Raw genomic sequence first — 27,024 nt, 5'->3', positions numbered from 1 at the left:
TGACAAAATGCATTTTAAAAGATTAGAACATAAATTGGAAACAAATGGAGATTGTAAGGATAATGATAAAACTCATGAGAATTGGCACACAAATACATTTTTAACCGTGTCACATATCACTACTTTGGAAAGTCTCTCTTTTCTTATTTTTCATATTTGACACGTGAACTGGCAATCAAATATACCTAGATGTCAGAGATACTTAAAAAGTGTTTTCTCTTGTAAAAAAAAAAAATCTGCTGAAAATGTGTAGACTTTAAAACTGTTTATACCTGTTGTTCCTGATTTTTAAAATGTAAATATATTAATGAATTATTTAGGGGAAAATGTTATTTTTAATGAATTCAATATCACAATGACAGTATAGTTTAGTCATAAGTGGGTCACAAAAAACATACCTGTTTTACTCAAGATATCATGTCCCAGATATTTGATCCTTGGTTCTATTCCAGTGCAATATTTTTAAAGCCAGAAAGCAGCCCCTAAAGCCTGGAGCAAGGGAAAGAAAATTTCAAAATAAAAACAAGAAATATCTAATAGTATTCAAGGCTGCCTAGCCACATTTAATAATCTATTGTATAAATAAAAGTTTATTGACACTCACTATGAGACAGTTGGACCCTTGTACCTTCTCTATTGGATTTAATTGGTAATATAAGTTTTCTACCTACTTCTGGGGATGTCTTCAGCATTATTAGGTAGTAGACAGAATGAGCACCATATGCTAGCAATGTAAGAAGAAATGAAAGTGTGTGTTTGGCAATTTATAAACAATGAGCAGTGAAAAAGAAAGGAGGCAACATATGAGGAAGATCAAGATTAGTACAAAGATAAAGAGAGAGAAAGAGCAGTGTAATGAGGGAAGGATAAGTAATGAAGCTTAAATAGACTCATTCCTGCTTATCGAAGTGAAAGGGCTGAGTCAGACCTTAGAGCAGGTGTTTTAAATCCAGGAAGTACTGAAGGAGCATCTGCTGGAGATTCAGGGGACAGTAAAACCTCCAAATCTGAAGGTAAAATACTGAGTGCATGTGTGTATTTTTCTAGAGAGGGGAATGTAGTTTTAATGATTTTTTTTCAAAGTTTAACTGGGAGATTGGTTGTGGTCTGATGTCAGTCTCAAAAAAAAAAAAAAAAGGCTCAAATGAAGTATAACAAGGTGGAAAGCTCATCTGAATGTGGCTGAGTCTCCAGAGCCAGTAGAAATCAGTGCAAGGTCAGCTGCACTGGCAGAGAGGAGTGAGGCCCTCCAACCAATCCGCCACCAGATAAAATCCCAACTGTCTTTCAAGGCCCAAATCGAATAGCACTATCTCTTCACAAATGCCCTGTAAGAGTTCACAGTCTACTGGTAGAAAGAAATATGCAAAGAAATTAACCAAATCAACGTTGATAAATAATAATGAATTTGTCCAAAAGAAAGGGTTACTAGAGGAATTAGAAACTTCATACACTGTTTGTTGGAATCTAAAATTGCACAGCTTCTTTGAAAGACAGTATGGTAGTTTCTTAAAAAATTAAATTTGGAATTGCCCATGATCCAGTAACTACACTTCTAAGTATATAGCAAAAAAAAAAAAAAAAAAAAAAAAAAACCCTGAAAGTAAGGTCTAAAAGAAATTTTTGTACAATCATGTTCATAGCAGAATTATACACAATAGCCAAAAGGTGGGTAAACAAAATGTGGTACATATGCTCATCCTTAAAAAGGGAGGAAATTGTGGCACATACCACCACAAAGATGAACCTTGAGGACATTATGCTAAGTGAAATAAGCCAGTCACAAAAGACACACACCATATGATGCCACTTAAATGAGGTATTTAGAGTACTCAAAATCTCTACAGACAAAAGGTAGTATGCTGGTTACCAAGGACTGGGAGATAAGGGGTAGGAATGGGAAGTTATTGTTTAATGGGTATAGGGTTTCCATTTTGTAAGATGAGAGTTCTGGAGATTGGTTGCAGATTATTGGCTATTAATTATGTGAATACATTTAATACTACTAAACTATACACTTAATGATTAATATGGTAAATTTTGTTATCTATATTTTATAAAAATTAATTTTCAAAATGTTATTTTAAAGAAATGGATTACTTTAATATCTTGACCCAGAGAGGTGTTCATGATGTATTATTAAGTAAGAAAAGCAGATTACAAAATGATATCTCACAATACAATTTTTGAAAAACAAGCAAATATGAATTTATATTTTTAATGGATTTATACAAATGTATATAATTACAAAGAAAAGTATATTATAATACACATCAAGCTATTAACAGGTTATTTCGAGCAGGTGATGGCAGTTGATCAGCTTTCTCTTTTACATCTCTATATTTTTTCACTTCAACAATGAGAATGTGTGCTTCAATAATTAAAAATAAACAAAGAAAAATGGCAATATGGTAAGAACTCAAACATATATAGATATCAAAGTCTATGTGCATGAAGGCAGGACCAAATTTCTGGGCCTGGAGTGTCTCTGAAAGGCCTCACAGCTAGGATCACACGGGAGCTGGATCTTAAACTCTGAGTGGCTAAAGGGAGATGGCCCAGACCCAGAATAACCCCAAATCAGGAACACATGCTTGATGGTATCTGACATCATTGCTAAAGGAATCCCATGCATATCAATTGTACACTGTTCATCTCATGAAGATTGCGAGCAATATCAGACTAATATTCAATAATGACTGACATTTTAATGGCAAATAACAGAATTAATAACTTTAAACATTTAACTCTTAAGCCTGCTTTTCTCATTTAGCAATATATTATGAACACTACAGGACAATGGCTGTAATTTTAACATATTCTTTTTCACAAATTCATAAATGTTTAGGAATAACACTCATAAATAAAAGGAAAATCGATGAGCTCAGCTTTCAATTGAATAAATTGAAAAGCAAAATTTAAGAAAAACAAGTGGAAAATAAATTTAAAAATTAATAAATTGATTAAATTGGAGATGAGTGGCAAAATTAGTATAGTAGAAGACTTTACAAAACTCTGTATACAAACATTTAAAATTCAAGTAAAGTAGAATATTTTTAGAAATACATAAATTACTGAAATTGATCCCAGAAGATAGAGAAAACTGAAATAAATCAATTTCCATGAAGTAAATTGAGAAATGTAACAAAGTGAATAAAACTCATGATATGTCAAGTGCTCAGAAGTCACAAGAGTTATTAAAAATGCGGCCAGGCACGGCAGCTCACATCTGTAATCCCTGAACTTTGGGAGGCAGAGATTGGAGGGTGGCTTGAGCCCAGGAGTTTGAGGTTGCAGTGAATGATGATTGTGTCACTGCACTCCAGTCTGGATGACAGAGCAAGACCCTGTCTCTGAAAGCAATAAATAAATATAATAATAAAAATGAGAAGATGAGGAATGACATCAGCAAGATGGCTGACTACAGCTGCCTAGCATTTGCCTCCCCAACAACAAACAAATAAAAGACCAAAGCAACTAATAAACAGCTAAAATTTGACTAGAGTGTTGAAGGGAAAGTGCTGGAGTGTAGTGGGGGAGTGGAGACACACCTGTAGTGGCTGGAAGTCTAGGAGGCAGTGTGGAGATCTCTGGCTTCTGCAACCCCATCCGCTGACCTAGATACATCTGCCTGGAGTCAGGAGGAATTTCCCATTGCAGGGGATAAGGTAAACAGAAGATTCCCACCAGCCAGTATTGCCACCATAAACATCTATAGTCTTTGCAACAGGAGAATCCCATAGTCTTCACAAGTTCTGAACCCTGTTTGGAGAGTTGCTGGAAACTCGTGCAGCTGCTTTGGCCCAGATTAGGAGCACAAGGTATCCACTCCCCACACCTATCCTCAGTGAGCAAAGTTGCTGCAGCCCAGTGCAATCTTGAGACCAGAGCCACCTCTGGAGTGTGCCTTCCTCTGCGGTCAAAAGCCACTGCCCTTCTCCAGCACTGGGGCTCCATCTCCATTCCACCAAGCTCACATGGATGGCTGAATCCCACAGCCCCAGCTGTGTGAATCCTGGACTCAGCTTCAGCTGTGACTCTGGTCCTGCACAGAAGGAAAGCCAGACCCACTCCTCACCCACCCAATGCACTTCTAGCCAGAGGAACAGTCTGGCAGTCCCACCCTGATCACACCGCTGCAAACCCTCCCCAAAGTGGGAGAGACACCTGAGCAGTGGTACACCCCCAGGCCAGCAGAAGGGCTACATGCCAATACTCAGGACCTAAGAAACACTCCTCAAGCACCCCTGCCCCCACAGATATGCCCACGCATAGGCCTGCACAACAACTCTGTGTCTGCAATCAGGGAGTAAGAAACAGCCCTGCAGGCCATCCTTGACAGGGATGCCCAGAAGACTGACAAGCATCAAAGAGCCCATGTCCCAGACCTGAGCAACAGTTCTGTTTCTTAGTAGGCCACACTTGGCAGACACACCCCCCCAGGCCAGATGAGCAGTCTTGCACCTTAATCCTGGGCCTGAAAAAGAGCCCCATTGGCCCTTCCAGCAAATATGCCCCCAAGCCAGCCAAGAAGCCTCATTCTGGCATTCCAAGCCTAAGAAGTAGCCCTGTGGGCTGCCCACAATATATACACCCTTAGGTCAGCTGAACAACCATGTGCCTATGCTCCAGGCCACAGTAATAGCCCTGTGGCCCCAACCTCACAAGCCAGACCCTATGTTGGCTAACCTATCATGTGCACACACATGCCGCTGACCTGAGAAATAACCCAGTGAGCCTACCCCCAGCAAGGCCATACCACTACTGCCACAAACTCTGTCACTCTATTCCACTGAGAAACTCTCAAATGCCACTAATGTGTATTACAGATTTAAACACACACACAAACACACACACACACATACACAGAGAGAGAGATAGACTACACTACTGCATCCACCTGGAAGCAAAGCCAATGCATCCCACCAAATAGACACCCCAAGACCTATTTAGATGAGTAAGTCTTTCCCTATGAAATTCTCTCCATAAAATTGGAAGAGGGGATTTTTCCAACAGATGCATAGAAATTAATGTAGGACACCCTTAACATGAAAAATCAAGGAAACATGACACCTTCAAAGGAAAACACTAATTCTCTAGTAACAGACCTCAATCATAAAGCAGTATATGAAATGCCAGAAAAATAATTTAAGATGATAATCTTAAAGAAACTCAATGAGATATAAGAGAATACCGATAAACAATTCCATGAAATCAGGAAAACAATTCATAATTTGAATGAGAAATTAAAGACTTGCCATAAAAAAAAAACTAAACAGAAATCTTAGAGCTAAATAATTCAATGAATGAAATAAAAAAAATACAATCAAGGGACTCAACAACAGACTAGGCCAAGCAGAAGAAAAAATTGAAGTTGAAGATAAATCTTTTGCAGGTAAATAAAAGAAAAGAAGAAAGAATACAAATGACCAAAGATTATGGGACATTATTAAGCAGACAAATGCACTATAGACCAAATAGCCCTAACATGCATTTATAGGATATTTCACCCAACAGCTATAGAATACACATTCTTTTCATTAGCACATGGAACATTCTCCAGGAATGACCACATGTTAGGACACCTAATAAGTCTCAAATGAAAGCTTTTCATCTAAGAATCGGAATAAGAGAAAGATGCCCCTTCTCATCGTTCTTATTAAACATAGCATCGGTAGTCCTTGTCAGAGAAGTTAAGCAAGATAATGAAATAAAGAAAATCCTTGTTAGAAAGGAGGAAGTTGAATTGTCCCTGTTAGAGATGATATAATTAATGATGCTACCAGAAAACACTGAAAACCCATAAAGTTGTACAATACAAAATCAGCATGCAAAAAAGTAACTTTTCTATACACAAACAACAAGCTAGCTAAGAAATAAATCAACAAAGAAATTCCATATACAATAACTACATAAAAATTAATACCTCAGAATAAATTTAACCAAGGAGCTGAAAGACCTCTACAAGGAAAACTGTAAAACACTGATGAAAGATATTGAGAAAAGATACAAATAGAAAGACATGCTTACAAGCCTGAAGAACTAATATTGTTAAAATGGCAATATTACCTAAAACAATATATAGATTCAATGTAATCCCTATCAAAATACAAACATTCTTCACAGAAATAGGGAGAAAAATCTTAAAAGTTGGTATGGAACCACACACACAAAAAAACCCTGAATAGCCAAAGTCCTGACCAAAAAGAACAAAGCTGGAGACATAACACTACCAGACTTCAAAATATACTACAAAGCTGTAATAACAAAAACTGCCTGGTACTAGGCTAAAAAGAGACAGATAGACCAATGTCACCAAACTGAGAAACCAGAAATTAACCCATGTATTTATAGTCAACTGATTTCTGATAAAAAGGTGCCAAGAACACTCATTGGGGAAATGGCCGTTTCTTCAATAAATGTTGCTGGAAGAACTGGATATCCATATGCTCAAGGATGAAACTTATTACTCACTCTACACGAAAATCAATTCAAAATGAAACAAAGACCTAAACGTAAGACCCAAAACTATAAAACTGCCAGAAGAAAACACAGGGGAAAAGCATCAGAACATTGCTCTGAGAAAAGGTTTTATAAATAAGAAGACCTCAAAAGCAAAGTCAACAAAAACAAAAAGAACGAAACTGCAAAGTTTCTGCACGGCAAAGGAAATAATCAACAGGATGAAAAGACAACCTGTGGAACTGGAGAAAATATTTGCAAACTACTCATGGAATAGGGGATTAATGTCCAGAATACACAATAATCAAATATTGCAACAGCAACAACAACTAAAAAATCTGATTAAAATAACTAAATGATCTAAACAAACATTTTTAAAAAGAAGGCATACGAATGGCCAATAAATATATTTTAAAATGCTCAACATCAGGGAAATGCAAATCAAAACCACAATGAAGTATCATCTCACACCAGTTAGGATGGCTATTATCAAAAAGTAACAAATGCTTACAAAGATATGTAGTAAAGGAAACTCATACAGTGTGGGTGGGAATGTAACTTAGTACAGCTGTTATGGAAAACAGTATGGGAGTTCCTCAAAAAAAAAAAAAAAAAAACCTACAAATAGAACTATCATGTGATCCAGCAATCCCAGTACTGGGCATTTATCCAAATGAAAGGAATCAGTGTATTGAAGAGACACCTGCATCCCATGTTTATGGCAGCACTATTCCAAATAGCCAAGATATGGAATCAGCCTAGCTGTCCAACAACAAATGAATGAATAAAGAAAATGTGGTATATACACACAATGAAATTCTATTCAGCTATTAAAAAAATGAAATCCTGTCATTCATGGCAACATGGATAGCATTATGTTAAGTGAAATAAACCAGGAATGGGAAGTCAAACACTGAATGTTCTCACTCATATGTGGAAACTAAGAAAAAAAAATGTTATCATAGATGTAAAAAGTAGAACGGATGATAGTAAGGACTGGGAAGGGTAGGGGGAAGGGAGGATAGAAAGAGATATGTTCAAGATACAAAGTTACAGCTAGATGTGATGAATAAATTATAGTGTTCTACACCACAGTAGGATGACTATAGTTTATAATAATATATTATTTAATACATAGTTTCAAATAGCTCAAAGGAGGATACTGAATGTTCCTAATAAAAAGAAATAAATGTTTGAGATGATGGATATTCTAATTACCCTGATCTGATCCCTATACATTATATGTATCAAAACATCATTAAGTACTTCATGAATATGTACAATTATTGCTTGCCAATTAAAAAATTAAATTACAATAAAATTACATAAATGGAAGGATGAGATTCATGTATAAACATATCTTACCAAGGATCCCAGTCTCTAGCATTTGAGTATTTTTTGGTTGTGCAATGGCCATTGACATGGAGAAAGGCATTTGTAATCCTAATTATGTGTTTAGATAGAAAGGCAACAGAGAAAAGTATTCTTTCCTATTCTCAATCATCTATACCAACACTATTAGATAGATTGAAAAAGTGTCTGACTAGCTGTCAGCCCCACACTGCAAAAAGAGCCCTAGGCAGCTCCTCATATTGGTGATCTTTTGTCCCACATGATCTTCCCATTACTGATGGAAACAAGGATGGATCCTTTACCTGAATAAAGGATAGAGAGCATATAATCTGATCAATAGTCTACCAAATTTTATCAGCCAATCACAAACCCTTTAGACATTTTAGTAGTAGCAAATGTAAAAACAGTTGTTCAGTGAATCACAGAAGCTGTAGCAGATAAAGCATAGCCAAATCATGTTAACAGCTGTTTCATATTAATACTATAGAAATATTAAACAAAAATCCACAAACTCAGTTGCTTGGTGGCAACATGATAATCCACCCGCAGTGGCTCTGGATCTGAATAGCTATTCAGTAGCCATCCCCCACAAGTCTGGGTTGACTAGAATTCTTATTCTTCTAATGAGGTCCAGTGGATTGCCTTCCTTCATTTCCCACTAGGCTTAACAGCTTGGTTGGAATTCCTGGCTTTTTCATTTCCATTCCCATTGGACAACAAATTGTTTTCTCATTTAGTTGAGAAAGTTCTGTTCTAAGCTTTAGCCTAAGAAGCAAACCATCCTCAGAAAACATTTTAAATTCCTGGGCTGGTGAAATAAATGAAGTTTTGATTTAGCATTTTTGAAAGATTAAAGGAATTGGTCTTTTCTAAGGCTATGAGGACATTTATTAATGGCATTCAAGAAAATGATAGATTCTTACATAGGTGGTACTGACCAGCTGTTCTTCATCTCTACTGAGAGAAGAACAAAGAAAATGGTGTTAAATTGCAAAATTAGGGATTGTGTCAATTTAATAAATCACCCAGTCCTCATTCTCTCATCTCCCACTCTCTGTCCCAGTTGCTAACCTTTTCAGCTAAGTGTTCATTACTAGGCATTTCATTTTCAATTCAATTTATTCCCAAATAGGAGGACTTGGGCAGCCCAGTTCTTTGATTTATGGAAGTACAGCATACTGCACAAGTCCTCTTCAAATCTGCTTCCATGATGAAGCATTGCCTGTCAGAAGCACTATGCTGAGCAACCGAATGAGAACAAATGCTGACACACTTTTCAATTCTGATCACAGTCTGCCTCTGATGCCAACCACGCAGAGGCACACTATTTCCCACTGTTGTGTTGTCTATTTCCTTCCAAGCATATATATGGTCATGGGACACTTTACTATCAATTCTAGGGTAGCCCTGACAGCTAGAATTTTTAATATTACAAGGAGTATTTAATTCTATTAAATGAATCTAATGGAAGTAAACAGGCTTAGCAGAGTATAGGGACCAAGAAACAAACAGAGGAGATAGGGAACCTGCCAATGGGGAATCAATAGTGCTTAAAAGGGATGGTAACACTGACAATAGTTAAGACATGTCAGTGATATCAAGTACAGTTGTGTTGAGGATTTTAATGCTCACTTCCCCAATACCTGCCCCCACATACTCAAAAAGCAGCCTTCTTTTGGGACTGGGGAGAGTTGTGGTCTGCTGATATCCCCAGTGCAATAAAACAAAAAGACCAAAGTGTGTTCCACCCAGAGGAACCAAGTAGCACAATAAGACTTTAAAGGTGAACACTGGAATTTTAAAAATAGGTTTATATAGAAAGAAAACTGCATGGAATATTTCATTGCTAAAGCTTGAGAATAAATGCTAACCCATTCCATGACTTTACACCACACCAAAGTACAGAGAAGGTGCTTACATGAAGCTTCTAACGTTCTTAGTTTGATCATTCACATAGGATAAAAACTGCTTTCAATGAAGATATATTAATCTTCCAGTGGCGGTGACATCAAATATCTGCCCACAGATTATTAAAAACAATAAAAAGTTTGTGTTTTTACAAACACCATCAGCATCTCAGTACCACTCAATTCATTTGGCGTCGATTTTGTCATTTTCTCAGATTGTGAAAAGCAAAATAGTCATATGGATTTACGGCTCTGACACCACTATTTTCAGTAAATAAGCACACTCCTTGAAAGACACAAACACAGAAGAGAAAAGGGTCAATGTGAGGCGGGCAGCTCTCTTTACAGTACTTAAATTCTATTAGAATTTAACTGCTTAGTAGTTTAACTTATAAACTACTAAGGTTACAACATTGCAAGCTTAATAGTTTAACATTGATTTTTGAACATGAGAGCATCAGAATGAAATACCAAAAAGACAGCCTTAGACCTTAGACTCTAAGGGCATCTTTCTCTCACTGTGTTTAGGTATTTTATTACAAATAAAAATGATCAAGCAATTTAACATTTTTATTATTTAAACCTATATATCCATTTCCTCATATATATGAAAGAATTTTATATATAAATATATATAGTGTGTGTGTATATATATATATATACACACACATATATGCACACACATAAAAACATTGTTTCTTCATTTTGACTATTTAAATCAACATTTGATTCCATCCTCTACTACAGATCTATATATGAAAGATATCGGAGTAGAGGATGGGGTTAAATATTGACTTACCAAGTCAAAATAAAGTCTGATTCTAGAAAAAACAGATATCTCACATTTATTGCCTGTTATAGTAAATGCTAACAGGAAAATCAAAATATATGAAAGATGGTTTTGGACCTTGAAGCTCTGAGATTTAGGTAAAAGATAAACTGGGCATATAACCTATGGTTAATTTGAAATATGCCCATGCTGAGAACTGAACAGTGCCTGCACACTGCATGCCCATCTCACACTGAAACTGCCTGAGAGCCTTAGTGGAACATCCTGGTCAAAGTTTCCCATATTTTAAAATTATCAGATAAATGTTTCAGGACTTATATAAGAAATGTCCATGTTTTCTGGGCCATGAAACTGACATTGGCTTCAAGAGCTCATAAATTATTCCTCAGAGCCTTTAAAAGTGACAGGCTGTAAATTTGCTTACTTTGTCCTACACTTACCTCCAGCCTCATAGCAACTTTTTCAATTTGGCAAATTATCTTTTGCCAGCCATCAGAGTTGACAGGTAGGCAAAAGGGGATGAGAAGCTCTGGCGGCCTAATTATCCCAGTGACCTAACTACTAAAACTCTGGAGTCTGATAAGAGAGAATATAAATGCAAGGCATTTCTATATCTCCTTGCTGATGTGGAGGAATGTCATTATATCCTCTAGAAGTATACTTAATGAGATAGCTTAAATACTTTTGAAAGAAAGGGGCTTGATTACTAAAATGGTTGACATAGTTAAGAGAGCATTTATTGTGGTTTTATGTATCTAAAATGCACTTTTCGTACATAAGAATGGAAATCTACTGGCTGATAAACTATTTTAAAATGAAGATTCTATCATCTACTTAAAATCCCTTGGAGGATACTGAGTGTTCCGTATGATAACTATTATAATTATACGCATTTGTCAAGATGGTTTAAAACACTCTTATCACAAAAAGCTTGATTGTAACAGTGGGCTGACGTGGTTAGCAGCCCTTTCATAGTGCTTGTGGATAACAGCCTACATAGTGCATTTATGAAATGGAAGAATGGTTTTTGTGTTAAATGCTAAAATTCTAAAAAAGCTTCATTTGCGATTTAAGCACTCCGAAGAAGGATAGAGAGCTTAGACATGAGCTTTGAGGCCGAGGCTGAATCTGCATGATGGGTCTCACAAGATTCATAATATATCTGTGCATTGAAAAAAGGTAGTGACAGGCTGAGCGCAGTGGCTCACGTCTGTAATCCTAGCACTTTGGGAGGCTGAGGCAGGTGGACTGCCTAAGCTCAGGAGTTGGAGATCTGCCTGGACAACACGGTGAAACCCCGTCTCTACTAAAATACAAAAAAATTAGCCGGGCGTGGCGGCGTGCGCTTGTAGTCCCAGCTACTCGGGAGGCTGAGGGAGGAGAATTGCTAGATCCCCGGAGGCGGAGGTTGCAGTAAGCCGAGATCGCACCAATGCACTCCAGCCTGGACGACACAGCGAGACTCCGTCTCAAAAACAAACAAACAAAAAACAAAGAAAGAAAGAAAAAGGTAGTGACGGAGTTTGACATTGTTCTCAATGGCTGACACCACAGATTTCAAGGAGTTTGAGAACAGGTCAACATATCTGGGTGTTATTTCAATCAAAATCTGATGCAGTAATGAGGTGTACTGAATTACATTTTAAATAGTTTCATATTCACTATAATCTTTAGTGACTCAATAAACCAAATGAGTTTCTAGGCCAAGTTTCAAGTTCAGTTGTTACAATCATTTCAGAAGATCCTCTTATTTATTTTCATTCAACTCTAAATCACAATTAAAACTCCTTGGAATATACTGAAATTTCGTGGAACAGTTGTACTGGAGCAGTACAGCTGGATTTAACCAACAGTCCTTTTATTTAACCTTCCAAATTCTTGAACTAAAAACAAAGAGCAAAACAATAGAACCATATAGATTTAATAAAGCGCCTATCTACAAAAAATTAAAACATAATGCTATTTGATAGACAAGCAAATCTGTGGAGATAAATAATTTCACAGGCAAACACATAGTTTTAGGAGATATAAAATGATCACTTTTTGCTTAAAAGCATTGGAAGCTTCCCAGGTAACTATAGCTTATACTCGCAGAAGCAGAAGAAAGTAAATAATTGAAAGAGCATGATATTACTTCAGGAACCGCCCAAGTTCAACTTAATGAGATGCTATATCACCTCTCCATATTCACTTCTTACCCAGAGGGGGAAATGGTACAGAGACACATCATTACATTGTCATCTGCTCTCTGACTACTGTATATTTAAAATTCATCAGCCGATGAAATATGATGGAAAATGTCTCATGTCATCTTGCCTGGAAAAGTAACTAGGTACAGAAAAAACAAATGAGGAATCTTACAGTTCAAACTCTAAAAGAATTTTCAGGTTTGAAACTCCTAAAACTACGGGTATCAATTCTTCCAGCTTCATGAAGAGTACTTACTTTTAAAATGTCACCTAAACTATCTCCTTGATATTTTTTATTACCTTATATTTTGTTACTACATCATTATATTGTTATTATTACTATTATATTTATTTGTCTAACTCATCTCCAGGACTAGTGAACTCCAAAATCTTCCACAGAATACATGTAGAAATTACACTCCATGTGCACCTCACACTGGTTTAAGTTGAAGAGGTTGCTTGGGCTGCCCTGAGATCTAGGGCAGGTCTCTAGCTCAGCTTGTGGGTGACCCATTCATGAATCATGTGAGAAACTCTTCACTAGATTCTGAGGTCATTGAAATCAGGGTATTCATCTTCATGTACACGGCTCCTAAAACAGTGCCCTCAATAAGCAGATAATAAAAAAAAAATTCTGTTAGGTGGATTACAAAGCTTTTCATAGCCCTGGCTGTCAGCCAAGCCCTGTATCTGGGCAGCTTTATCTCTAGCCACTCATCGTCACTTGTACCTCATCCTGGGTTCTGAAACATTTACAAGTTTATGTCATAGCCCTGCACTTACTAACTTGGAACATTCAACAAAGAATTCTGAGAAAGTTATCTCCAGCAGAGAAACGCCAGGATATTGCTGTCAGAGATCCTCCCGCATATACTGCCAGAGACCAGAATTAACACAACCTCTTTCCTCTCCTGCCCCAACATCTAGTCAAATGCCAAGTCCTGTTGTCTCATCTTCTAATGTCTCTCCAATCCATCTATTTCTCTCCATTTCCAGGATCACCATACCACATAAGGTTCTCATCATCTCTCATTTAGATGATTTTCATATCCTCCTAATCTCTCTTGAACTAACCATCCACCTTTCTTCTCACGGCATCCTAAATGAGCTTTCAAACATACAAATATGATAACCTCAACTAAAATTTGTCCATCACTGATCGATGCTCTTATAATTAGAAAAAAAAAATAACATGACCTTCAGTGCATGATCTCACTGCCCGCTGATCTCACCGTGCTAATCTAGCAGCCTTACTCCCTTTCCTGCTTATTTCACACCCATACCATTTTCTGTTAGTTCCCTGAATACAACAAGCTTACTGTCACATTAGGACACACATGTACTCTTTGTTTGAGATGATTTTCACGCCCTTCTTTCTTAAACTAGTTAATTTTGACTTATCATTTAAATATAGATCAAAAGTGAACATCTCTAGAGAATTTTAACCAACATTAATTAAGTACCTAATGTATGTTCTCCTCTGTCCTGGGCTTCAGAAGCAAAGGGGTAAACAAGATAGAGAAGGTTCTTGCTCTCATGTAGGCTAGTAAGCAAGATTTCATTTGGCAACCAGCAACTAAAAATCCTACTATAATGACTTAAGTATGTAGTATTTATTTCACAAGTACAGGGAGACCACAGGCAAGCCTTAAATTGATACAATACAGCAACTAAACAATGTCATCAGTGACCAAGGCTCTTTGCTTATTTTTACTTCTTATCCTTAATGCAGAAATTTTGATGTATTCATTCCTATCATTCTCAGTCATAAGGTGATTATACTTCATCTAGACTCTAAAGCAATACTGCAGAGAGAAAGAGGTGACCCTTATTACAAGGAAAGCAAAATTTCTGGAAGAAATATTCAATGGTGTTTCCCTTGTAACTCATTGGCTGGAAGAGTGCCACATTATGCCTCTGTACTGGCATGGAGAATAGGACACTGGATTTTATTAGATGGGCAATTGTCATACTAAATAAAACCAAGATGTTGGTATTTGAAAGATAAGAAGAGTGGATACAGATTCTCCTGAATAAAACTTCTAGGCTTGGGGAAAGAGACAGTCACTGTGGTGAACAGAATAATGGCTTTCCAAAGATGTCCACATCCAACTCCCCATAATCTGTGAATATGATAGTTGCATGACAAGTGGGAATTAAGGTGGCAGATGAAAATAAGTTTACTAATCAGTTGACTTAAAATGAGGAAGTTATCCTATGATATTTACATGGTCAGTGTAATCACAAGGGTCTTTGAATATGGATAAGACAACTAGATAGATGAAAATAAATAATAAAATGGCAGGAGTATGTCTCTACTTATCAATAATAACATTAAATGTAAATAGACTGAGTTGTCCAATAAAAAGACACAGAATGGCTGAATGGAAGAAAAAACAAGACCTAATGATCTGTTTTTATAACACACTTCTTGGAAGTGTGTTTCTTCCTATAAAGATACACACAGACTGAAAATAATGAGATGGAGAAGGATATTCCATGGCAATGGAAACCATAAAAGAGTGAGAGTAGCTATACTTATCAGATAAAATAGATTTCAAGACAAAAAATGTAAAAAGAGATAAAGAAGGTATAATAAAAATATCATGATATATATATCATTATATAATGATAAAGGAGTCAGTTCAGCAAGAGGATATAATGATTGTAAATATATGTATATCCCCTCAACACTGGAGCACCCAGATAAATAAAGCAAATGTTGTTAGAGCTAAAGAGAGAGATAGGCACCAATACAATAATAGCTGCAAACTTCAACACTTCACTTTCAGCATTGGGCACATCTCCCAGACAAACAATCAACAAAGAAACATCAAGCTTAATCTACACTGTAGAACAAATGGACCTAATAGATATATACACATTTAATCCAACAGCTGCAATATACACATTCTTCTCCTCAGCTCATGAATTATTCTCAAGAATAGACCATATTTTAGGTCACAAAACAAGTCTTACGACATTCAAAAAATGAAAAAAGTATCAAGCACCTTCTCTGACCACAATAGAATAGAACTGGAAATCAATAACAGAAATTTTGGGGGAAAAAATGGAAAAGTATGCTTCTGAATATCCAGTAGGTCAATAAATAAATTAAGAAGGAAACTGAAGGCCCAATGTGTTGGCTCACACCTGTAATCCCAACAATCTGGGAGGCCAAGGCAGGCAGCTAACTTGAGGTCAGGAGTTCGAGACCATCCTGGCCAACATGGTGAAACCAGGTCTCTACTAAAAATACAAAAAATTAGCCAGGCATGGTAGTGCATGCCTGTAGTTCCAGCTACTTGGGAAGCTGAGGCAGGAAAATTGCTTGAACCTGGGAGGTAGAGGTTGCAGAGAGCCAAGATCACACCACTGCACTCCAGCCTGGGAGACAGAGAGAGACTCCATCTCCAAAAAAAAAAAAAAAAAAAAAAAGACATTGAAACATTTCTTGAAACATGTGATAATAGACACACAACATACCAAAACCTATGGGATACAGTGAAAGCAGTACTAAGAGAAAAATGTATAGCTATAACTGCCAGCATCACAAAAGAAGAAAAACTTCATATACATAACCTAATAATTCATCTTAAAGAACTAGAAAAGAGCAAACCAAATCCAAAATTAGTGGAGGAAAAAATAAAGATTAGAGAGGAAGTAAATGAATTTGAAATGAAGAAAATAATACGAAAGCTTAATGAAACAAAAAGTTTGGGGTTTTTTTTGTAAAAATAAACAGAATTGATTTCTTTTCCAGACTAACAAAGAAAAAAAGGGAGAGATGACCAAAATAAATAAAATCAGAGATGAAAAAGAAGACATTACAACTGATACTGCAGAAATTCAAAGAATTACCAGAGGCTACTATGAGAAACCATTAATATTGCCAATAAATTGGAAAACCTAGAGGAAATGGATAAATTCCTAGACACACACAGCCTACCAATATTGAACTAGGAAGAAATCCAAAACCTGACCAGACCAATAACAAGTAATGAGACCAAAACCATAATAAACAGTCATCCAATAGAGAAAAGCCTGGGACCTGATGGCTTCACTGCTAAATTCTACCAAACATTTAAAGAACTAATAACAATCCTACTCAAACTATTCCAAAAAAATAGGACAAGTACTTATAAACATATTCTATGAGGTCAGTGTTACCCTGATACAGAAACCAGAAAAAGACACCTCAAAAAAGGAAACTATAGGTGAATAACTTCATGAATATTGATGCAAAAATCCTCAGCAAAATACTAGCAAACTGAATGCAACAATACATTGAAAGGATCATTCCTCATGACCAAGTGAGATTTATCCCAGGAATGCAAGGATGGTTCAACATATGCAAATCAATCAACATGATACATACATCACATCAAGAGAATGAAGGACAAAACCCACACAATTATTTCAGTTGATGCTGGAAAAACATTTGATAAAATTTAGCATTGCTTTATGACAGAACCCTAAAAAAATGGTTATAGAAGAAACATACCTCAACAAAATAAATACCATATATGACAGGAGCATAATTAGTATCATACTGAATGGAGAAAAACAGAAAAGTTTTCCTCTAAGGCCTGGAACATGACAAGGATGCCCACTTTCACCACTGTCATTCAACATAGTATTGGAAGTCCTAGCTAGATAAATCAGATAAGAGAAAGAAATACAGGGCATCCAAACTGGAATGGAGGTGGTCAAATTATCATTGCTTACAGATGATATAATCTTATATTTAGAAAAATCTAAAGACTCCACCAAAAAACTAATTAGAACTAACAAACAAATCAGTAAATTTGCAGGATACAAAATCAATATATGCCAACAGTGAACAATCTGAAAAAGAAATTTAAAAAGTAATCCTATTTACAATAGCCATATGTAAAATTAAATACCTAGGATTATCTTAACCAAAGAAGTGAAAGATCTCTACAATGAAAACTATAAAATATTCATGAAAGAAATTAAAGAGGACACAAGAAATGGAAAGATATTCCATGTTCATAAATTTAAAGAATCAATATTGTTAAAATGTCCATACTACTCAAAGCAATTTACAGATTTAATGCAATCCCCATCAAAATACCATGACATTCTTCATAGAAATTGGAAAAATAATGCTAAAATTTAAATGGGAACCACAAAAGACCCAGAGAAGCTAAAGATATCATAGCCAGAAGAACTGGAAAAATCATATTACCTGACTTCAAATTATACTACAAAACCATAGTAACCAAAATTGCATGGTACTGCATAAAAACAGAAACATAGACCAGTAGAACAGAATACAGAACCCAGAAACAAATCTACACACCTATGGTGAATTCATTTTTGACAAAAGTGCCAGGAAGATGCACTGGGGAAAATACAGTCTTTTTAATAAATGATGCTGGGAAAACGGGATATCCATATGCAGAACAATGAAACAAGACTCCTATGTCTCATCATACATAAAAATCAAATCAAAATGTGTTAAGAACTTCAATCTAAGACCTCAAACTGTGAAGATACTACAAGAAAACATCAAGGAAACTCTCTAGAACACTGGACTCAGCAAAGATTTCTTGAATAATACTCCACAAGCATAGGCAACCAAAGCAAAAATAGACAAACAGGATCACATCAAGTTAAATAGCTTATTCAGAGTATGAAACAAAAACACTGAAGAGATAACCCACAGAATGAGGAAAAAATATTTGCAAACTATCCATCTGACAAGAGATTAATAAATAGAATATATAAGGATCTCAAACAACTCAATAGGAAAAAAATCTAATAATCCAATTAAAAATTGGCAAAATGTTTGGACATTTCTCAAAAGAAGACATACAAATGGCCAACAGGCATAAGAAAAGATACTCAACATCATTAATTATCAGAGAAATGCAAATGAAAACAACAATGAGATATCTCACCCCATTTAAAATGGCTTTTATCCAAACGACAGTCAGTAACAAATGCTGACCATGATGTGAAGCAAAGGGAATGCTGATACCCTGTTGGTGCAAATGTAAATGAGTACAACCACTATGGAGAACAATTAAGAGATTCCTTATAAAAACTAAAAGTAGAGTTACCATATGATCCAGCAATCCCAATGTTGGATATATACCCCAAAGAAAGAAAATTGGTATATTGAAGACATACTATGTTTGTTGCTGTGTTTTTCACAGTGGCCAAGATTTGAAAGCAACCTAATGTCCATCAAAAGATTAATGGATAGGCCAGGCACGGTGGCTCACGCCTGTAATCCCAGCACTTTTGGAGGCCGAGGCGAGCGGATCACAAGGTCAGGAGATTGAGACCATCCTGGCTAACATGGTGAAACCCCATCTCTACTAAAAATACAAAAAGAAATTAGCCAGGCGTGGTGGAGGGTGCCCGTAATCCCAGCTACTCAGGAGGCTGAGGCAGGAGAATGGCTGAACCTAAGAGGCAGAGCTTGCAGTGAGCCGAGATTGTACCACTGCACTCCAGCCTGGGCGACAGAGTGAGACTCCATCTGAAAAAAAAAAAAAAAAAGATGAATGGATAAAGATAATGTGGTACATATACACAATGGAGTACCATTCAGCCATAAAAAAGAATGAGATTCTGCCATTTGCAACATGGATAGAGCTGGAGGTCATTATGTTAATTGAAATAAGCCAGGCATGGAAAGACAAACTTCATGTGTTCTCACTTATTTGTGAGAGGTAAAGAGTTAAACAGTTGAATTCATGGAGATAGAAAGTAGAAGGATGGTTACCAGAGGCTGGGAAGACTAGTGAGAAGGTAGTGGGCTTGGGGGCAGATGGAAATGGCTACTGGGTACAAAAATAATAGTTAGAAAAAAATTAATAAAACCTAGTATTTGATAGCACCACGTGGTAACTATAGTTAATAATAATTGAATTGTATATTTTTAAATAACTAAAAGAGTACAATTGAATTGTTTTTAACACAAAGGATACACGCTTGTGGGAATGGATACCCCATTTTTCATGATGTGGTTATTACCCGTTGCTTGCCTATATCTAAATATGTCATGTGCCCTGTAAATATATGCACCTACTATGTACCCAAAAAAATAAAAAAATGGAAAGTTAAAAAAAGAAGTCTTATTCTTATATTTCCTCCTTTAACTATCTAAAAGAAAGCTCTCCTATCCTCTTAACATGAAGGTAAAGTCCTTTCTACCCTGACCTTTGGTAGAGCAGTCTGTACCACTGCTTCTTGTCCACAGCAATTCTCTCTGTTTCACACTCTGGGATTCATGTATTTTAGGCCAAATACAAATTCCATTCAGTGCCTAGTCTCAAGTAATCACTTCTCTTTTAAAGGGCATTGCAAACTGGTGTCTACAATTTCAATGTTCTTCCCACTCTACAAAGCAGAAGTCAATTTAGGTAAGCCATTGACAAGAAGTCTGTGGATACCAGTACTGTATTTATCAATTCTCTGCCACTACTTAGATTTGCCTGGTGTTTGCATTGACATTGCCAAAGCTGTCAATCAACCCCCAGCCATTTGGTATTCTAGAGACAAGCCAGAAGACTCAAGGGTAAGAGAAGGAATTGACCAGTTGTATTTTTCTATGGACTCAGAAGATTAGCATAAAATGAAAATAATTGTGGAGACATCTTATGAGCCATAAACTCATGGTCAATAACCTAAATAAAATAGTCATAATGCAGGCCTATGCATAAGATATCATTATAATCAAGACTAAATTCAGGGTCATTTTTAACTAAATGTACATCTGGAGAGGATGGATGCAGTAACAAACGTATAAAAATTTATTTTGTCTCTACCTCTTTATGTCTTACTTATAGACAGTAAAGATTAGTTGTAATTTCCTTGATATGTTACATACCTTAAAACATCTCTCAGGCCATCATAGCATATATAATATGTGACATTGCAGTATGGGGCTGATTACACCCCGAATAAAATAAAATTTAATTGAAATATTTCTTCAAATTCATGGAGAAGTGTGATTGAAGCTCATTTTAGAAACTATCACTACTAAAGTATCTAGTGTAAACTTGTCTGAAGTATCTAGTGTAAACTTGTTTTTGCTTTCATTTTATCTGAAAGAGAAAGCCAAGCCTGAAGTTTTCACTATAAAATCGAAGAGTTGAGATTATTTAGGTTTTGTGGTGAGCCACATTTTTAAATATTTGAGGTTTAATCTTTCTCTGGGATAAAAATATTAATAACTGGCATAATGCTCAGGCAGACAGCTCCCACCTTTAACCCCAGCACTTTGAGAAGCCAAGACGGGAGGTTTGCTTGAGCTCAGCAGTTCAAAACCAACCTGGGCAACACGAGGAGACCCCATTTCTACAAAAATAACAATAAATAAAAATAAAAACATAAATAACCGGCAGAAATAAATTTCAATACAAGTATCATATTAGGCTAAATCAATTGGTTTTGTTGTTGTTAGGCAAGGAGAGAAGAGCACAGACTTTCTACCAGATATTGCTTGACTGTGCAATAACACAGTGATCTCTGTGGTTGTCCACAACCCTACAAGATTATAATGCTAAGACCGACACACACTCTTCTCCCATTAACATTCACATCTCTTTGTTGGCTCATTGTTCTCTCAATGCTTTATTTTTCACCTGCATATAAAACCTTTAGGTCTTGTTCTTACTCATACTGATAACTTTCATGAATGCATCACCCACTCTGTTGTGCTTTCTTGTCATTCGTTATGGGTTGAATTGTGTCTCCTCAAACTTCATATGTTGAAGCCCCAACCCCCAGTACCTCAGAATGGCCTTGTTTGGAAATAGGGTCATTGCAAATATAATTAGTTTAGATAAGGTCATTAGGGAGGGCCCTGGTTCAGTATGACTGGTGTCCTTGTAGGAAAGAGAAATCTGGACACAGAGACAAACATGTATAGAGGGGAAACGTGAAGAGACACAAGGAGAATATGTGTCTCTGTAATTCAAAGAGGTAACATCTCCTTTCCTCATCGCCTTCAAAAGGAACCACTCCTACAGATACCTTGACTTAGAACTTCTAGCCTCTAAAACTGTGAGACAATAAATTTCTGTTGATCAAGCCACTGAGATTGTGGTACTTTGTTAAGGCAGCCCTTGCAAACTAATACATTATTTTTAAGCATCATGGTATTTCCTAATTAAATCTAGAATTCTAGAACTTTATTCAAGCCATATTGCATTCAGTATTCAAATCATTTTTCCAGATCAAGGATTTCTTCTTTTTAAAAAAGGATAAAGTATATACTCTTCTAAAAATCTCCTCCTATCTTTGGTTCTTGTCCTTACTTATATGTGTCCATTTATGAACACTTTTCAATTCCATTTCTTTAGGTACGGCAACCAGAACTAATTGCAGAGTCCTATGCTTTGATGAAAGGATAAATCACTTCGTAACTCTCACTTTCCTCATGTGTACAATGCACTAGAAATTATCCTACAGTATTGTTTTGAGAATTAAACAAAATAGCACCTATGGGTATTTGAATTACTACTGATGTTTCTGCTTCATTTGCAGCAGCATCTCTGATGATTCACAGAATAATAGCAACTATGTTTGCCACCATAGACTTCAGGTGGAGCTCTCCAGAAAGAGAAGATAATAATGACTCACAAATCCTTATTATGTGTCATCACTGATGCTCAAGAGTCATCATCACATAAATATGGTTTTTTTTCTTATTCTACCACATTCACACACCCATAGTGCTGTTCATCTTCTGTGTCCTGACCTCACACACAAGCAGGAAAGATTTTTCTGCAGTTTATTCTTATCAGCTTGACATTTAATTACCCAGAGAAGCTTAGTGTCATCTGTGAACTTGAAGATTTTACAGGGTACTTCATCTTTCAGGTTTCTTATAGAAACTTTAAATGAATCCAGTCCTGGCAATAATCCCTCAGGCATAGCATCCAGACCTGAGTGTTGGGAATGGGTTACAGAAGTGCCAAGACAGAGATACCCTCAGCTCTTGGAGTAGCAGGTGTCTCCATCCATGAAGAGTCTTTTCTATGTACATGAGTGAATTGTTGACAGCATTATCATTTAGTGGAAGAAAAATTAGGCAGTGGTGTTCTAAAGATATATTCTGTTAAAATCCTTTTATTCGTAAAAGTAGTTGGTTGTTCCCTTGCCTTTTTCCCGTCAATAAGCCAGGTGTTTAGCCATGAGACCACATTCTCTTGAATTTTTAGGCAATTTGCTGTGTGTGTGTGAGTGTGTTTTCTATATCTGTTTTTAGTAGAATTCAACATAGAGCATTTTCAGATGTGTTGCAACGGTGACAACTAAGAACCATGGGAAAGACTGAATCCAAAATTATGTGCAGAATCAGTCACAGTAATAAATAATTCAGAAGTAAAGGTCAAAGGGCTTGTGTGAGGTATTGCCACCAGATCTGAAAAGGCAAAAATATTTTGTGCTTACTATGTGGAACTGCACTGATATGGAATCCACATACATTGAGAAACCGTCTAAATATTACCTTTATTAAGTTTACTGGATATCCCTTGCTGCCATTCCTAAAGGTCATCACAATTAATCAGTATTTTGTTTTACATAAGCCTGGGCAATATAAAGCTTTCTGAAGATAAGTAGTTCCTTTTCCCCTAGAGGACCCTTGGGGGAAAAGAGAAGTGGTAGTGAGTGGGGTGAGTCGTTTAGTGGGAGAACAGGAATTCCTAGAGTAAGGGTGAAAGGGGAGACACCTAAGCAAGGCTGGGAGAGCTGGTAGAAGTCTAATAGCCTGAACAGAGAAGTGGCAATCTCGTTCCATGCCTTGGAATCTAAACTTCCTATAGGAAGCAGTGACCTAGTAAGTAGCTCAGAAACAAATAGAAAAATAAAAGAGTAATAGTGAGAGAGGAAAATAAGAACAAAAATGAGAGTGACAGCAAAAGCAAGAAGTAATGAGAGAGAACCTTAGCCTAGGCAAGGCAACCCAGCTTATGCTGTGTCATTATTTTTGTGTTTTACATTGTATAATTAGCCACAGATTCAAGTATGTGACCTCTCTAAGATAGGACTCAAGGAGAGAGATTAAAGAGAAACAGCAGTATTGAATAACTTGTGAATTAATGTCCCTGTCCTGTGAGACTGGCATATGTCCCAACCTAATTTTTTCACTATCTGCTTTTATGGGAGTCTTTTAGATTCCTTTGCTGCAGCCTCCTACTATATACCTGTAATGCACACGGTGCCTGACTGATTCTAAGACTTGGATCCCACAACAATTCAGGCCCTGGATAGACTATGTCACCCAAGAATTGTTTTGGATTAATTTCCTTTCAAAATGCTTCCAGGAAGGCTCCCTCCAGCCTAGGTGGGTTGAGATGGGGGCTGCCTTGTGACTCCTTCCACTTGACTTAAGGTGTAATAGGAATCCATTCTCCTCTTGCCCCTGGAAGAAAGAACGCACAACTGTCTCCCACATTCTCTAAAGGAAGCCTTCTCCATTAATTTTCTTTCTCCATGCTTTTAAGGTTGAAGGTGGGTGATCACTGCAGGCAAAATCAATTTAGCCATCTCTTAGCCCATCCTGGTTAAAAGAGCTAACACCTTTCTTGGAAACTTCTGGGAGAATTGATATCTGTTGCATTATTACCAGTCTTGAGGGCTTCAGACAAAAATGAGACAAAATGAGTTCTAATTATTAGGTTGCTCAATTTTAAATGGCTAATTTTGAGGTTAAATATGGTCTATATCAGCAATTTCATATGGCTCAGTCTAATGAATCTTATTGCGTCAGTTTTCCCTTTCATCCTATTACCATTCACTTTTGTCAAAATGTAACTTGTTAGGCAGCTATTCTTTGTCATCCAGCAATTTTTTTAGTGACCTATGAAAAAAATACACAGTCAACTCTTTCCTATAACCTGAAATAGTATTTCTTCAAACAAATGAACAAAACACATACTTCACTCAATGTTCTCAAAATTACAAGCTTCCAAGGTCTCTTTCATTATAAAACAATGAAACAAATAGTTATTCACTGCCCAGCTTGGAAATACCCCACCAGATGCCCTGGGGAGAAACAAATTTTTTGTTAGTACTCACTGAACGAGATGTGACTTTTTTGGCTGACTGAAGGAACCCTGCTTAGAAAACCATAATGATGCTAAATAAAAGGCAGGTTCTATTGTCAGGATACAGCTAAATAATGACAGTCACAGCTGCCAGCCTATGACTTTTACCTAAGCGTAACTACCTTCAAAAAGTGTCTTTGCTACTCTGATGTCTGTAAATTTTATTTGTTTCTCTCATTTGCTAAAAATAAAAGATATAAATATGTTGTTTTCCCTCTTTGACTTGTATTGTAATTGAACTATCATGTTGATTTTTTTGTCATCTGATTTCTGTATATCCCATGCTTCTCTACCAAGGTGACCTGTAGTACATTGGGGATCAGTTCTGTATTGCTTTTCTGGCCTTTACACAGTGAAGAAACTCAAAATATGCATGTTACATGAGTCAGAGTGCTACTGGTCTTGAATACAGCATTTTCAATGTTTGCATTATTCTATTTTAGCCTCAATATCAATTTTTGAGATCATTCAAATAAATCTATCAGAATAGCTGGAAAAGGCCACCTTTTTACATTGCTGGAAAAGTAATATGTGTTATGTTTAACTTTAGTAGCAGTTATTTGATTTATTGTTCTGACCTTTTAATTCCTTGCAAAGATGGGATCCTTTAGAAATATTAATCTTAGGGTAAAATCAACAAGAGAATTTGCCTAATATTTAAGCTCAAAGAAAATGGAAGTCTTATATAGAGCTCAGTATGATCATCTAAAAATTTCTTTGTAAGCCCAACATATATAAAATGTTGAATAATCATACCAGAATGCCAAAGAAAAAAGAAGTACAACATTACATCACAGCTTCTGCAAGATAAACTATTCCAAGAATGTGGAGGAACCATTGTTTGTTCTCTTCTTTTTAGATGTTATGAAAGGAATAATTTGAAAAGCAAATAATACATTGGTAAATTCCAAAAGTTTATATCATACTCAAAGTAATGTGTTCATTTAGAATCAAACTACACATTTTTAAAAAATGAATAATCACAACTTAGAAAGACAGACAATCTTATAAAAAGTCTAGATTAAAAACAAAATACTTCATTCATGGTAGATAGTAATTTTTTTAATAGGTGTTCATTTTCCTCTGGAACTCAAAGTCAAATTGCCTTATCTGTATGTTTTTAAGTGACATTTACTGATTGAGTTGATGATGATATTTTCAGGAATCAATGAGCATTTGATGATGTAGACCTCAAACAGCATCCTCTTTGCAAAACCCCCAAGAATTCATATAATTCTTCACAGAGCATCTGTGCTAAGTGAAAATAAATTATGAAGGGGAAAAATGAAAGAAACATAAAACAAATATTCACAGATGGATGATTTTTTATAATTGGCATGTGTTTCATGGGACTGTTAGAAATTTGCTTACATTTAAAAAAAAAAAAAGCTATCAAGAAAATTGAACATATGACCATTGTCTTTATTACCCAGGCAACACCTACTATTATCAGTAAGTGGAAGTCAGAAGTCTGGAAATAAGGGAAATGTCTTGGGGGAGTCTCACTGTCAAATCCACTCAGAGGAGATTAAGCAGAGATAAGCAATGTTACATAAAACAAACAGAAGTTTTTTTTAGACCCATAAGTCCTATTATAACCATGAACATATATATATACACACACACATATACACATATATATATATGTGTGTGTGTATATGTGTGTGTATATATATATTTATACAAATATATAAATATATACACAAATATATGTATATATTTGTACAAATATATACATATATTTGTACAAATATATACATATATTTGTACAAATATATACATATATTTGTACAAATATATACATATATTTGTACAAATATATACATATATATATATACATTTGTGATTCTCCTGCCTCAGCTTCCCGAGTAGTTGGGACTATAGGTGCGTGCCACCATGCCCAGCTAATTTTTGTATTTTTAGTAGAGATGGGTTTTCACCATGTTGGCTTGGATGGTCTCAATCTCTTGACCTCATGATCTGCCTGTCTTGGCTTCCAAAAGTGCTGGAATTACAGGTGTGAGCCACCATGCAGGCCTGATATGAACATATTTTTAAAATGTAGATATCAATCAAAATAAAGTTGGTAGTAGCACAAGCTATGCAAACAGAGAAGCATGAAGGCAAACATTCAAAGAAAATATTAAGTCAACTGCTTTCTAGTATGCAAGGCCAATTGGCAATAGTATTTTTATCATTATGTAAATAAAATAATTGGGATTAGCTTT

At 36.1% G+C, this 27,024-nt stretch overlaps 1 long non-coding RNA gene across 4 annotated transcripts in view; it reads right to left on the bottom strand.

Moving 5' to 3' along the window:
* The window catches only part of LOC105374140 (uncharacterized), a 266,957-nt gene that overhangs the window by 68,361 nt on the left and 171,572 nt on the right, over positions 1–27,024 (bottom strand). For 2 of the 4 annotated variants that reach the window (XR_007096124.1, XR_924558.4), the window contains one exon: positions 399–489. The exons of the other annotated variants lie outside the window; for them this stretch is intronic. This is a non-coding gene — a long non-coding RNA (uncharacterized LOC105374140). The remainder of the gene's footprint in view (positions 1–398; positions 490–27,024) is intronic. 4 annotated transcript variants of the gene reach the window in all.

Source organism: Homo sapiens, chromosome 3 (genome assembly GCF_000001405.40).
Source record: "Homo sapiens chromosome 3, GRCh38.p14 Primary Assembly".
NCBI classification, from domain to species: domain Eukaryota; kingdom Metazoa; phylum Chordata; class Mammalia; order Primates; family Hominidae; genus Homo; species Homo sapiens.
Note: the sequence above shows the minus strand (reverse complement) of the source record. Positions and strands in the feature narration are given on the sequence as shown.